General features: G+C 43.9%; 1 protein-coding gene and 1 pseudogene across 2 annotated transcripts in view, besides 3 other annotated features; one reads left to right on the top strand and one right to left on the bottom strand.

The window, feature by feature from the left end:
* GRB2 (growth factor receptor bound protein 2) overlaps positions 1-14,149 on the top strand; it is an 87,603-nt gene that overhangs the window by 64,717 nt on the left and 8,737 nt on the right. For both annotated transcript variants that reach the window (NM_203506.3, NM_002086.5), the window contains exon 3: positions 8,165-8,262. In NM_203506.3, the coding sequence (NP_987102.1) occupies positions 8,165-8,262 (98 nt within the window). The remainder of the gene's footprint in view (positions 1-8,164; positions 8,263-14,149) is intronic.
* Positions 1,750-2,162, bottom strand: RPL36AP7 (ribosomal protein L36a pseudogene 7; annotated as a pseudogene).
* Positions 1,863-2,032: an enhancer, noted in NCBI's record as "active region_12757". NCBI's record gives its function as "activates an Ori minimal core promoter by ATAC-STARR-seq in GM12878 lymphoblastoid cells {active_cell/tissue: GM12878}" and the evidence as "EXISTENCE:reporter gene assay evidence [ECO:0000049][PMID:35858748]".
* Positions 3,490-3,599: an enhancer, noted in NCBI's record as "active region_12756". NCBI's record gives its function as "activates an Ori minimal core promoter by ATAC-STARR-seq in GM12878 lymphoblastoid cells {active_cell/tissue: GM12878}" and the evidence as "EXISTENCE:reporter gene assay evidence [ECO:0000049][PMID:35858748]".
* Positions 13,583-14,083: an enhancer, noted in NCBI's record as "H3K4me1 hESC enhancer chr17:73322960-73323460 (GRCh37/hg19 assembly coordinates)". NCBI's record gives its function as "activates a minimal SCP1, AML or CMV promoter by ChIP-STARR-seq in naive H9 embryonic stem cells {active_cell/tissue: H9 hESC(naive)}" and the evidence as "EXISTENCE:reporter gene assay evidence [ECO:0000049][PMID:30033119]".

Here is a 14,149-nt window from a genome sequence, read left to right as displayed (position 1 = left end):
TCTCTGTGTTCCTGGGTGAGCAATTCAAGCTTTCTGTGGGACCAGAAACCTTAATTATTGAACTACCTTTGCTGGTTATCTCATCACTAAAATTGTTAATCGTTTATCTACACTGTGGGTGTTTTTCATGATTTGGCACACAGCATAGCAGGCAGCATTGCCAAGATGTTTTTCATGTTGCAGAAAAACTGTAACAGATGGAGGTGGTGATTGTGAAGCACTTATTTAAAGTGTTAGTAATGAATCACTATAGCTTGAAACTGAGTCAGTTATCCATACTAAGGGAAGTTGAAGAACATTCTAATAGCTTCTAATAAAATACGTAATCAGGCACCTGAAGAGAACTGACTTTGAGTGGCTCTCCCATTACTGTTACCCTAGCCAGGGCCCTTAGAATTTATTCTTAGGGGCTAAAGTCTTTTAAAAGCATGCATGCATGTGTGTTTTCTCTTTTCTAGGAACTTGAAATTATGTAGTAGATGTCACTAGAATTCTTGAAATTTGTCTTCAAGTCATGGCAGTATTTCAGTATCGCTCCTTTGGGATTGCCTGAGTGATACTCAAGAGTTAGACTAGTTTTATCTGGGTTCTTTGAAGAACTGGGGACACCTCACTGGCTTATGTTGAATTTCTGCACTGCAGGGACCAACTATAAATGGTGTTTTTGGTTTTTTACGTGTTAAGAGCTTTAAAATGTAATTCTTCCTATCATTCATGCACAAATGTTCTCACACAAATTGCTTCACAGATTGATAAAACTTTGAATAATTTTTCCCTGAAGAAATGTTGAACTTTTCTGCAAGCTGTTGGAATTGGAGCGCGTGTTGAAAGGCTTGATGGGACCATAACTGTACAGCCTATTTCTTTTAAAAAAAATTATGATTTCTATTTTTTATTCATTTACAGATGACTGAATATGTTCAGGCCAGAAAATATCCCCTTATTTCAAAATGCAGCAATCTATAAACAAAATACTTGCCATTTTTCTAAATGACACCTTTTTCTATAATTTGTATAGAAAATTAAGTGCAAGGGCCAGGTGCCGTGGCTAACGCCTGTAATCCCAGCACTTTGGGAGGCCAAGGCGGGTGGATCGCCTGAGGTCAGTAGTTCAAGACCACCCTGGCCAACATGGCGAAACTCCATCTCTACTAAAAATACAAAACAATTAGCCAGGTGTGGTGGCAGACGCCTGTAATCCCAGCTACTTGGGAGGCTGAGGCATGAGAATCACTTGAACCCAGGAGGCAGAGGTGGCAGTGAGCTGAGATGGCGCCATTGCACTCCAGCCTGGGTAACAAGAGTGAAAACTGAAGCTGTCTCAAAAAAAAAAAAAAAGAAAGAAAGAAAAAGGAAAATGTATATATCATTATAGGTCAGTGAACTTTCACAAACAGAACACACCCAGGTCAGGAAATGTGAGATAAACAGCACCTCTAGAGTTCCTTCATGTCCCCTTCCATTGACTTGTACATATATATATATATTTTGAAGTAAACATAAACTCTTGGGAGGCCGAGGTGGGTGGATCAGGGGGTCAAGTGATCGAGACCATCCTGGCCAACATAGTGAAACCCCCTCTCTACTAAAAATACAAAAAAATAGCCGGGCGTGGTGGCGGGCGCCTGTAGTCCCAGCTACTCAGGAGGCTGAGGCAGGAGAATGGCGTGAACCCAGGAGGCGGAGCTTGCAGTGAGCCGAGATCGTGCCACTGCACTCCAGCCTGGGCAACAGAGCAAGACTCTGTCTCAAAAAAAAAAAAAAAACATAAACTCAGGATTTTATTGTCTTCATAATAAAACAAAAGATGACACTTAGAACTGGATCACTTGGCCCTTTCTCTTCTTATCTCCTCCCAGTTCAAAATGCTTGCATCTTTTAATAGCCAGCATTCTCTTAGATCTGCAGTTGGGCTCAACGCACTCAAGCCTTAGCACAGTCTTCTTTGTGGTTTCAGCCTTTTTCCGGAAAATCGACTTAGTCTGCCCACCATAGCCACTCTGCTTCCTGTCATAACGCCGCTTTCCCTGGGCATACAGAGAATCCTTTCCCTTCTTGTACTGTGTCACTTTGTGGGGTTGATGCTTGCCACACTTCTTAGAGAAAGTCCAGTGAATTTTAGGAAAGTTGACCATTTGCGTGAGTGCTATCAGCACAGAAAGGACTTGTATATTTTTAATTCTTCTGTGTAAAGCTCACCTCATTCCTCATCTCTTAAATTTCTTCCTGATTTGGGCTCTTAACATTATTTTCAGTCTCTTTGCAAAAAAAAACCAAAAAACAAAAAGAACTGTCTTCACTGAAACTTGTCTCTTCCTCCTCTTATAATCTCATCTCTTGATCAATCTGCTTCCGTTAAACCAAAGTGTCGTGTGGCTACAAAGTCATAACTCGAGGGAATATGGGGGTTGGAATAGAAAATGCAGCTGTGGGGTAATAGCTAAAAACATTCCTTGGAGATTTTAAAGCTGAAGGAAACTTTTTGTGAGCTCACCCGTGGATTTGTGCAGAGGGAGTGAATAAGCAAGTGAAGACACAGTGATGGGAGCAGCTTGCTCATGCTCAGGAGTCTGACTAGGCCTTTAAAAATTATTTGTGGCCGGGCACGGTGGCTCATGCCTGTAATCCCAGCACTTTGGGAGGCCAAGGTGGGCAGATCACCTGAGGCCAGGAGTTCGAGACCAGCCTGGCCAACATGGTGAAACCCCGTCTCTATGAAAAATACAAAAATTAGCTGAGCATGGTGACAGGCGCCTGTAATCCTAGCTACTCAGGAGGCCAAGGCAGGCAAATCACCTGAGGTCAGAGGTTCAAGACCAGCCTGACCAATATGGTGAAACCCCATCTCTGCTAAAAATACAAAAATTAGCCAGGCGTGGTGGCGGGTGCCTGTAATCCCAGCTACTCGAGAGGCTGAGGCAGAGAATCACTTGAACCTGGGAGGCGGAGGTTGCAGTGAGCCGAGATTGTGCCACTGCACTCCAGCCTGGGCAACAGAGTGAGACTCTGTCTCAATAAATAATAATAATAATAATAATAATAATAATAATAATAATAATAGTAGTAGTAGTAGTAGTAGTAGTAGTAGTAATAGTAGGCCGGGCGCAGTGGCTCACGCCTATAATCCCAGCACTTTTGGAGGCCGAGGCAGGCGGATCACGAGGTCAGATCAAGACCGTCCTGGCTAACACAGTGAAACCCGTCTCTACTAAAAATATAAAAAATTAGCTGGGCGTGGTTGCAGACGCCTGTAGTCCCAGCTACTCGGGAGGCTGAGGCAGGAGAATGGCCTGAACCTAGGAGGCGGACCTTGCAGTGAGCCGAGATTGTGCCACTGCACTCCAGCCTGGGCGACAGAGCGAGACTCCATCTCAAAAAAAAAAAAAAAATAGTAACAGTAATAAAATAAAAATTATTTGTGAAGGATGTGAGCTTTCACCTAAAGCCACAGCAAATGAAACAATCTTTGTAGGTGCAGCCTCATCCTCAGATGCTTCTGGTCTCTGCCACCTCGAGCTCTTCAACATTCATTTGTGTTCTTTGCTGTTTTGTTTTCTTTTTCTTTCTTTTTTTTTTTTAACCCGACACTTCAGTAGCTGTTTTGTATACTTAAACATTTGAATAAAACTTAATTTTTAAGCATCTAATTACATCACTCCAGTTTCAGGGCTTGTGTGTGCAAGCTCCCAGTGCAGGTGGAGCAGTTGGGTTGAAAGGCCTGGTCTCTGGCTCAGGGTTGCAGCTGCATTGTTCATCCTGTGTTTTGCCTCCGGCAGAACCAAGCTTTTTCTGAAATTCTAGAGTGAAGAGGTTTAGAGGTATGTGCAGCAATACCTGGGCTATCTGATAACGTGATATTCTGGATACTAGAATTTTCCAGATAACCAAAATCGTAACCATTCATGTACTCAAATGTTACATTTTTGGCCAGCATGATGGCTCACGCCTATAATCCCAGCACTTTGAGAGGCCAAGGTAGGTGGATTGCTTGAGGCCAGGAATATGAGACCAGCCTAGCCAACATGGTGAAATCCCGTGTCTGCTAAAAGTACAAAAATCAGCTGGGTATAGTGGCGCATGCCTGTAATCCCAGCTACTTGGGAGGCCGAGGCACTTGAATCACTTGAACCCGGGAAGTGGAGGTTGCAGTGAGCCGAGATCATGCCACTCCACTGCAGCCTGGGTGACAGAGCAACAGAGCAAGACTCTCTCAAAAAAAAAAATTACATTTTTAAAAGCATTAATTCCATATTTTCCTTCTTTCTGGGGGAGAAAAACATACTAAACACCAAGTAATAATTTTTGTTCTGTAGACAGCCATAGTTCTAAGTTGATGTCAAATCTAGGAGTTGCCCTGGAGTTGTGTTTGTTGGGGGAGGGGACACTTTTTAGAGGGATTTGCCTCTGTCTTGGTAAAGGTGACAAGAAGAGAGTGTAGCTCTATGAACTCCTGGCAGGTAAATAGAGTTATCTTTTTCTGCAAAGTTATTGGTCACAAATCAAAAGTGTCCCTTTCTAATGATTACTTTGTTCTGTTTTGATGCACAAATAGGTTACAAGCAGCTCTTTGTCAGTCTGACTCTCTGTCTTCCAAGAACAAGTGTATACAGTAAAAGTAGACACACCTCACCATTTCAGGAGTTAAGACATTTTCAAAAACTCTTCATAGCTGGTATGGGTGCACGCACCTGTAGTCCCAGCTACTCCAGCCTGAGCAACGTAGACTCTGTCTCTGAAATAAAATAATAAATATTGTTTATAAGCCTGTGGGGTTTTTATTATTACTATAGGATGATGCTTTATAAGGTCATTATTAGACCACATTTTCCTTCTAGACCTTATTTTTGGTAGATAACAGAATCCTGGCCTTAAATAACTTTTAAAGTAGCTCCTTTTCTCAAAGGCTATTCAGAGTTTTCTGTGCTGCCAGTACAGGGGCAGGTGGTGGTGGCCCGGCAGGGTTCAAGCGCACTTTCCCTCCTCAAACTTGTCCTTGGTGTGTGCTTTATAATTGTCTATCAATACAGCACCATTGCTGGCTGCAGCACAATGCAGTGTTTTTAAAATGAAGACTTAAAAATTATGAGTGTACCTTGCATATATTGTTTTATCTCATTCCAGTCTTTGATGTGATTTTTTTACGAGAAACAAAATGATGACTAGAAGAAAGTTTTCATCAATACTCTATCAATATTTATGTGACTCTTGGAAACTTTGAATACACTGGGATTTACCACTAGCTAATTTTTTTTGAGAGTTTGCTACACATATTTATTAGCTCTTTCAGGATTTATCACCTTATCCTAAGCATTGAAACCCAGTGTCTGGCACCTGCAGTCAGAGTGTGGTAAGCATAGCAGATAAGCACCAGCATTGCAAAGCTCTGCAGGGCATACCCTCTGTTAAGAAAGCGTAGTCATTAATGCAGCCTGGCTAGTTGTCGATCATCTGTCATTCTTATCTACCCTTTCTATTGCATCTCACTTTGAATGGCAGTACACAGACAGCACTCACTTTAGAGCAATCCAGCTTCTGATTGGCTACGAGTACAGCATTGTTCAACATCTTGAATAAATCATTTTGTAAAGAATGTTACCAGTTTCCTCTCAGAACTTTGTTATGCAGTGTAGATTACCACTGTACTAGCCAACATTTTCCTGGGCCCACCATTTTGGGGTTGTATTCACATTTTTGTTTTATCTTTTACCAACTTTATGCCTTCTGCCCTTTGCCTTTTGTTGTAAGTCTAGAATTCATAGGGTGGCTTTCACGCTGTACCTGATTCTGTTCTGCTCCGTATATACTAGTCCCCCCTTACCTGCGGCCAGTTGCAATCCAACATATAAATAACATATTTTGGCCAATCGCAGTGGCTCACACCTGTAATCTCAACACTTAGGTAAGCTGAGGCAGGAGGATACTTGAGCGCAGGAGTTCAAGACCAGCCTGGGCAACATGGCAAGTGCCTATAGTCCCAGGTACTCAGGAGGCTGAAATGGGAGGATAGCTTGAACCCAGGAAGTTGAGATGCCATGAGCCGTGATGGTGTCACTGTACTCCAGACTGGGCAGCAGAGCAAGACCCTGACTCAAAAAAAAAAAAAAAAGATATTTTGAGAGATAACACATTCACATAAATTTTTATTACAGTATATTGTTATAACTTTTCTTTTACACTTTTTAAATATAAAGACAGGGTCTCACTATGTTGCCCAGGCTGGTCCTAAACTCCTGGGCTAAAGCAGTCTTCCCACCTTAGCCTTCCAAACTGCCAGGATTACAGGTTTGAGCCAGCACACCTGGCCTGTTAAAACTTTTCTATTTTACTACTAGTCATCATTAATCTCTTACTGTGCCTAATTTACAAATTAAACTTATAGGTAGGACTGGCATGGTGGCTCACACCTGTAATCTCAGCACTTTGGGAGGCTGAGGCAGGAGAATCCCTTGAGTCCAGGAGTTCAAGACTAGCCTGGGCAAAATAAATAAATCGGCTGGGCACGGTGGCTCGTGCCTGTAATCCCAGCACTTTGGGAGGCCGAGTCGGGTGGATCACAAGGTCAGGAGATCGAGACCATCCTGGCTAACATGGTGAAACCCCGTCTCTACTAAAAAATACAAAAAATTAGCCGGGCGTGGTGGCAGGCGCCTGTAGTCCCAGCCACTCGGGAGGCTGAGGCAAGAGAATGGCGTGAACCCGGGAGGCAGAGCTTGCAGTGAGCCGAGATCGCGCCACTGCACTCCAGCCTGGGCGACAGAGCGAGACTCTGTCTCAAAAAAAAATAAATAAATAAATCTAAAAAAAAATAAAACGTATAGGTATGTGTATAGTGTAGGAAAAAGCATAGCATATCTAGAGTCCTGTACTATCCACGGTTTCAGGCACCCACTGGAGGTCTTGAAACGTATCCATCATGATAAGGAGGACTACTGTATTACTCTACACATTACAGCGTCATGGCCTAGCCTATGCATGGCCTGGTACATGCAATTCAAGAGGCAGCATTGGAGAGAACGGTCATTGGAAATATGAAAGTCTGGGCATGATGTTAGCTCTGTGGGGTCACTACCTCGTAACCTGGGTTGACCATTGATCTTGTTTTTTTACATCTGTAGAATGCAGTGGTTCAGTTCCAGGATTTCCAAGGCATCTGCCTGAATTCTGCTGGTTGATATGCTTTCAGCACTATCTAACTTTAATACAATGTGGCATTTGGGTTATTGAACTGAGTAGGATTTGCCATGCTTTTTCCTGAAAATAGTTTTCCCATACGAGGGCATATGGTTGTCCTCACAAGCAGCAGTGTTCTGGAGCTGTTTGGTGGGTGACCCGTACTTGCGGTAACCCAGAGAAGCCATGAGGGGATCCAGGACTGTATCACTGTAGATTCTGGAGGTCGGTTGGAAGATCTCTAGAGGAGTCTAATAAAAGGTTCTGTTGCTGCTTAGTTCTGCTGTGACACCTCTCTCTCCCAGAAAGTAGACTTTGTCTTCGTCAGGCTCCCTTATTCTCCTATGTGTTTGCCATTTTCCAGAACCTCTTCTCCAGGTTTCTCTCTTAGAAAAACCAAACCAAACAAAAAAACTGGCCGGGCACAGTGGCTCACACCTATAATCCCAGCAATTTGAGAGGCCAAGGTGGGCAGATCACCTGAGGCCAGGAGTTCAAGACCAGCCTGGCCAACATGGTGAAACCCCATCTCTACTAAAAATACAAAAATTAGCTGGGCAACGTGGCATGCGCCTGTAATCCCAGCTACTCGGGAGGCTGTGGCAGGAGAATCGCCTGAACCCAGGAGGTGGAGGTTGCAGTGAGCCAAGATCGCGCCACTGCACTTCAGCCTGGGCGACAGAGCAAGACTCCGTCTTAAAAAAAAAAAACAACTAATACTTGCCATTCTTCTTTCTCCTTCCTTACTGAGGGTTTCATTCCAGATGTTTGGGAGCCTGAATTTTCATTTTCAGAGATAATTTCTGTTTCATTTTAACAGAGTTTAACATAATGCTGGTTGTTTGAAGTTAAAAGGAGTCTTATATCCGTATAACTGATAATACTTCGAGTGAAACCGTTCACAGACCTAAAAGATAGCATAATTGTCTTGTAACTATCTTTTTAAAGGGAAAAGGAAATGATTGGGTTTTTTTGTTGTCTTATTTCTTTTCAGGTTTTGAACGAAGAATGTGATCAGAACTGGTACAAGGCAGAGCTTAATGGAAAAGACGGCTTCATTCCCAAGAACTACATAGAAATGAAACCACATCCGTAAGTTAAGCTCCATTAGTCTTGGAAGGGTTGGACCCACCTCCTTGTTTCAAACACTCTTTTTAAAATTGAGATCACTGGGATGGATGTCATACTTTTTATTCACGTTTCTAGGGAATTAACAAAGGATATTGATTGTGCATGTTAATAGTATATAATAATATATCATAGTCAATAATATTATATGTTTTAGATTGATAATAACTGTCAGTGATCTTCAAAAATAAAACGATAGTTGGTGCAGGTCCGTAATTCTTTTTCTGTTAAATATGTCTTAGAGCCAGATGTGTTTTATAATTCTGCATTTTTTTTGAGTTTTAGAAAAGGTACTTAGATGATTTTGTGTTTATATGTGCTAATGCTGTGGGACGGTATCTTAATATCTTTGTATCCCCAGAGTACGGTGCTTGGCATCTAATAGTTCTCAATAAATGTTTATCCCTCCATCTTAGTGTTCCTACTTACAAGAGAACAAAATATGCTGTCCTCCAGGCTGCTGGGAGCAGTGAATATTTTTAATTTTTTTTCAGAAGCTACCCTTGTCACGATTTTATTAATAACGCAACATAGTGGACCCCTGAGAGCCCCTGCAGACCACTGTCCTCCCGTTCTCACCCACCCCTCATTCACAGGCCCTGCTCCTAGCACAGAAGCAGTTGCTGGCTTGCCTTACAAGTGTGTCAGGGGAGCTGAGGCTTTCCACGCTCAGACTAGAATGCCCTTGGACATTGTCCACTTGCTTTCACAGCAGCTGGTGGCGGAGACTTTCAGGTGGCTTGTCGCATCTTGAGTGGGAGGGGCCTGTTGGATCACAGCACATCCTCCCCAGGTCCCATATAAGCCACATAATTTGTGTACTTCTGTTTCCTTCAGTCGTCCTCAAAAGAAACTGTAGGTCAAGGGTTGGCTAAACTTTTTCTGTGAAGAGCCAGATAGCAAGTAATTTCGACTTTGTGGGCTGCATACAATCCTGTCAAATATTCCTTGTAAAAATTTTCTTTTAACAATCGAGTAGAAATTTAAAAAACAGTCTTAGGTTGTGGGCAGATTTGGGCAGAAGGCCATTATTGTTTGCTGGCTCCTTCATTAGATCCAAACACAACATCGACTTCAGTTCCCTTTTGTTTTCATATTTTCAGATTGAAAGGGAATTCAACAGAACATCATACTACACTTCTTATATGACATGCCTGTGGCTCGAAATTCTTATTTTTCTTCAGTGTTTCGGGTGACACAGGCATTTAAATCTGACTGTTGAGGAAAGATAGGAAAGGCTACCTTCCTTGGAAAGTTGTAGTTACTGCCAGGCTGACTGGGACAGTCACTCCCTTGCCTTGACCTTTTGTCCCCACTATGAAGAACTTTAGAAGAATTGATGGAGAAGCACCCAGCACAGGCTCAGCTGTGTTGTTATTTGCAGACTCTGCCCAAAGGGTGGGCAGTGCTCAGCCACTCTGAGCTCTGAAAAGGCAACTAGCAACTTAAAAACCCTTATTTATTCAGGTCTACCATATTGCTAACAAAGACCATGCTTGTGCCTATGTAGGTGTTTGGCCTTGCAGACGTAGTTGCTGTTGTATAGGGCTGCTCTGTGGCTGGATGTTCATGAGTATAGGGTCAGGGTCAGTACCAGGCCTTCTCCTCCACATCCTACCACCTCCTGTTTTTTTGTTTGTTTGTTTGTTTGTTTGTGGGGGTGGGGAGCAGGGGTTATGGAGGAAGAGGGAAGCATAAAATGTAGCACCATGTCAGCTAATGCAGCATTCAAGTTAACAAATTAGACTACAAAATGATTGTTGGCATTAGTGCTGCAGCATGAGTTGTATATGCTTGAGGGGTGGATCCAAATATGTGCTTTTCACACTAAATGCATATGGATGGGAGCCTACGGGATGTAGTAAAGAATTATATTGGAAAATTAGCCTTCTCCCCTCACCCCCTTAGCTCTCGCCCTTGCTATTTCTGTTGTATAAGCCCACCTTTTTTTTTTTTGTTTTTTGTTTGTTGTTGTTCTTGTTGTTTTTATGAGACGGAATCCTGCTCTGTTGCCCAGGCTGGAGTGCAGTGGTGCTATCTCAGCTCACTGCAACCTCCGCCTGCTGGGTTCAAGCGATTCTTGTGCCTCAGCCTGCCGAGTAGCTGGGACTACAGGCGCGTGCCTCCACTCCCGTCGAATTGTTGTATTTTTAGTAGAGATGGGGTTTCACTGTGTTGGCCAAGCTGATCTCGAGCTCTTGGCCTAAAGTGCTGGGATTACAGGTGTAAGCCACCGCACCCTGCCAAAGCCCATCTTTTGTTTGTTTGTTTGTTTGTTTGTTTGAGATGGAGTCTCGCTCTGTCGCCAGGCTAGAGTGCTGTGGCGCGATCTCGGCTCACTGCAACCCCCAACTCCCTGGTTCAAGGGATTCTCCTGCCTCCACCTCCTGAGTAGCTGGGATTACAGGCATGTGCCACCATGCCTGGCTAATTTTTGTATTTTTAGTAGAGATGGGGTTTCACTGTGTTGGTCAGGATGGTCTCAATCTCCTGACCTCCTGATCCGCCCGCCTCGGCCTCCCAAAGTGCTGGGATTACAGGTGTGAGCCACCACACCCGGCCCAAAGCCCATCTTTTTAAAGACTTTCAAAACATTTGCCTGTTAGAGCTTGCAGCAAGCCAAGATCACGCCACTGCACTCCAGCCTATTCAACAAAGCAAGACTCTGTCTCAAAAAATAAAAAATAAAAAAAATTCACCCGTAAGCATGTAGTCACATGTACATATCATCATTTTAAAAAGTCAAATTTATAAATGATATAAAATGCTATAGAAATGTAGAATGGTGGTATTTCAGTGTTTTAGTAGTGACAGCTATTCACAGGGTCTTGCTCTGTCATCCAGGTTGGGCTCAAGTTATCCTCCCACCTTAGTCTCCTAAGTTGCTGCGTCTACAGCTGTGCACCACTATGCCTGGCTAATTTTTTATTTTTCGTAGAGACAGGGTCTCACTGTGTTGCCCGGGCTGGTCTTGATCTACTGGGCTTAAGCAATCCTCCCACCTTAGCCTCCCAAAGTGCTGGAATTAACAGGCGTGAGCAACTGCACCTGGTGCCAGATTTTTTATTTCTTGATCTGGGTGCTTATAACAGAGTTGTGGTTTTTTTGGTTTTTGGTTTTAATTCCAGTTAGAGTACTTTTTAAACATTATAATTTGTACTTCACTACAATTTATTTTTTTTAATTGAAAATAAAATTGCGTTAATTTTAAGCTGGGGGCAAGAAAACACAGCAGCCATGTCTATGTGACACCAGACAGAAAGGTCTGGAAACCTAAGTGTTAGAACCGCCAACACGTGCTGCCTCTGGGGAGTTTGAGGGAAGCATCTTACTTTTTATGTTTGCTTCATGTACATCTAGGCTATTTCAGTTTATATTCATTATTTTATACCTACAAATGGGAAAAAACCTCCCTAGTGGAGAGATCTTGGGGGCCTAGGAGGAAAGAGAGCCTTGCTGATTGAGAATCTTCACCCTCACCATTGCTATTGGAAGTGGCAGTGGTGGGGAGTGTGGGGCAGTGTGGGGAGAGCCAGCCGAGGCCATGTGTGGATTTTCACTGCTGTACCCAGTCAGATGCATGCTGCATACACTTATATTAGAAACCCAGGGCCCCCCGATATGAGAAGGTTTAAATACCGTTGATTGGGGCCCCCCGATTGAGAAGGTCTCAATACCGTTAAGTGTCCTTATTTATTTATTTATTTATTTATTTATTTATTTTTTGAAAGCGAGTCTCGCTTTGTCGCCCAGGCTAGAGTGCAGTGGCGCGATCTCGGCTCACTGCAAGCTCCGCCTCCCAGGTTCACTCCATTCTCCTGCCTCAGCCTCCTGAGTAACTGGGACTACAGGCACCTGCCACCACGCCTGGCTAATTTTTTGTATTTTTAGTAAAGACAGGGTTTCACCGTGTTAGCCAGGTTGGTCTCGATCTCCTGACTTTGTGACCCGCCCGCCTCGGCCTCCCAAAGTGCTGGGATTACAGGCGTGAGCCACCACACCCGGCCTATTTAATTTTTTTGAGATGGAGTTTCACTCTTGTTGCCCAGGCTGGAGTGCAATGGCACGATCTCGGCTCACCGCAACCTCTGCCTCCCGGAGATTCAAGCGATTCTCCTGCCTCAGCCTCCCGAGTAGCTGGGATTACAGGCATGCGCCACCGCGCCTTGCTAATTTTGTATTTTTAGTAGAGATGGAGTTTCTCCATGTTGGCCAGGCTGGTCTCGAACTCCTGACCTCAGATGATCCGCCCACCTCGGCCTCCCAAAGTGCTGCGATTACAGGCATTGAGCCACCGCACCCAGCCTCCTTTTTTATTTTATTTATTTATATATTTTTTTGAGACAGAGTCTCACTCTTTCGCCCAGGCTGGAGTGCGGTGGCACAGTCTCGGCTCACTACAACCTCTGCCTCCCAGGTTCAAGTGATTCTCCTGCCTCAGCCTCCCGAGTAGCTGGGATTACAGGTGCCCACCACTGTGCCCATCTAATTTTTGTATTTTTGGTAGAGAGTGGGTTTCACCACGTTGGCCAGGCTGGTCTCAAACTCCTGACCTCAAGTGATTCACCCCACCTCAGCCTCCCAAAGTGCTGCAATTACAGGCATGAGGTACCGGGCCCAGCCTGTCCTTTTATATTTAGAGAGCATTCTATTCTAGTGATATGTGATTTCTCTTGTGTGGCCTGATTTCCAGGCACTGCAGGCCCTAGCCTTGAGTTATTTGTAGAAGCAGGAGGATCTATTGTCCCAGCTCCTCAGCATCCTGGCAGTAGAGTATGCAAAATGAGAAAGACTCCAAGCAGGTAGATGTCAGACTATTCAGAGTTACTAAGAGTCCCTAGAGGCTGACACACACACACAAGGACAAAGTTACTAAGGGCAGCTTCTAAGTGTATCCTTCCTAGCAGATCACATCTTTCTGTTTGAATTTGAGTATAGTATATTATTTTAGGTACATCTTCCAATATGGTTGCTTATAAGTAAGATATGTAAATTAGCCGGGCGTGGTGGCTCGCGACTTTAATCCCAGCACTTTGGGAGGCTGAGGCGGGCAGATCTCGAGGTCGGGAGTTCAAGACCAGCCTGGCCAATATGGTGAAACCCCGTCTCTATTAAAAATACAAAAATTAGCTGGGCGTGGTGGTGGCCGCCTGTAATCCCAGCTACTAGGGAAGCTGAGGCAGGAGAATTGCTTGAACCCAGGAGGCGAAGGTTGCAGTGAGCCGAGATCGTGCCACTGCACTCCAGCCTTGATGACAGAGTGAGACTCTATCTAAAAAAAAAAGGGCCGGGCGTAGTGGCTCATGCCTGTAATCCCAGCACTTTGGGAGGCCAAGGCAGGCGGATCAACAAGGTCAGGAGATCGAGACCATCCTGGCTAACACGGTGAAACCCCATCTTTACTAAAAATACAAAATATTAGCCGGGCATGGTGGCGGGCGCCTATGTATAGTCCCAGCTGCTCAGCTACTTGGGAGGCTGAGGCAGGAGAATGGCGTGAACCCGGGAGGCAGAGCTTGCAGTGAGCGAGATCGTGCCACTGCACTCCAGCCTGGGTGACAGAGCTAGACTCCTCAAAAAAAAAAAAAAAGAAAAGATATGTAAGTTAGATTTACAACTTTAATGGACTATTTGGTCCATTAAAAGGACTTTTGATATTATAATTAGCATATTAAATGAATGCCAGTTTCCATGTTTATAGGTCTTTATTTGCTATAACTTTTGCTTTTAAAAATGATAACTAAAGACAATTTTGAGAAGAGAACATGGTTTTCACAGTTTCTTCTTCCTAATTATAGTTTTCATTTGAAATAGTGAGGCAGCTTGACTTGAAGCTCTTGTAGAAGTGTTC

This window comes from Homo sapiens, chromosome 17 (assembly GCF_000001405.40).
Source record: "Homo sapiens chromosome 17, GRCh38.p14 Primary Assembly".
In the NCBI taxonomy this organism is placed as follows: domain Eukaryota; kingdom Metazoa; phylum Chordata; class Mammalia; order Primates; family Hominidae; genus Homo; species Homo sapiens.
The sequence above is the reverse complement of the archived record's forward strand: the minus strand, read 5'-3'. Positions and strand labels throughout refer to the sequence as shown.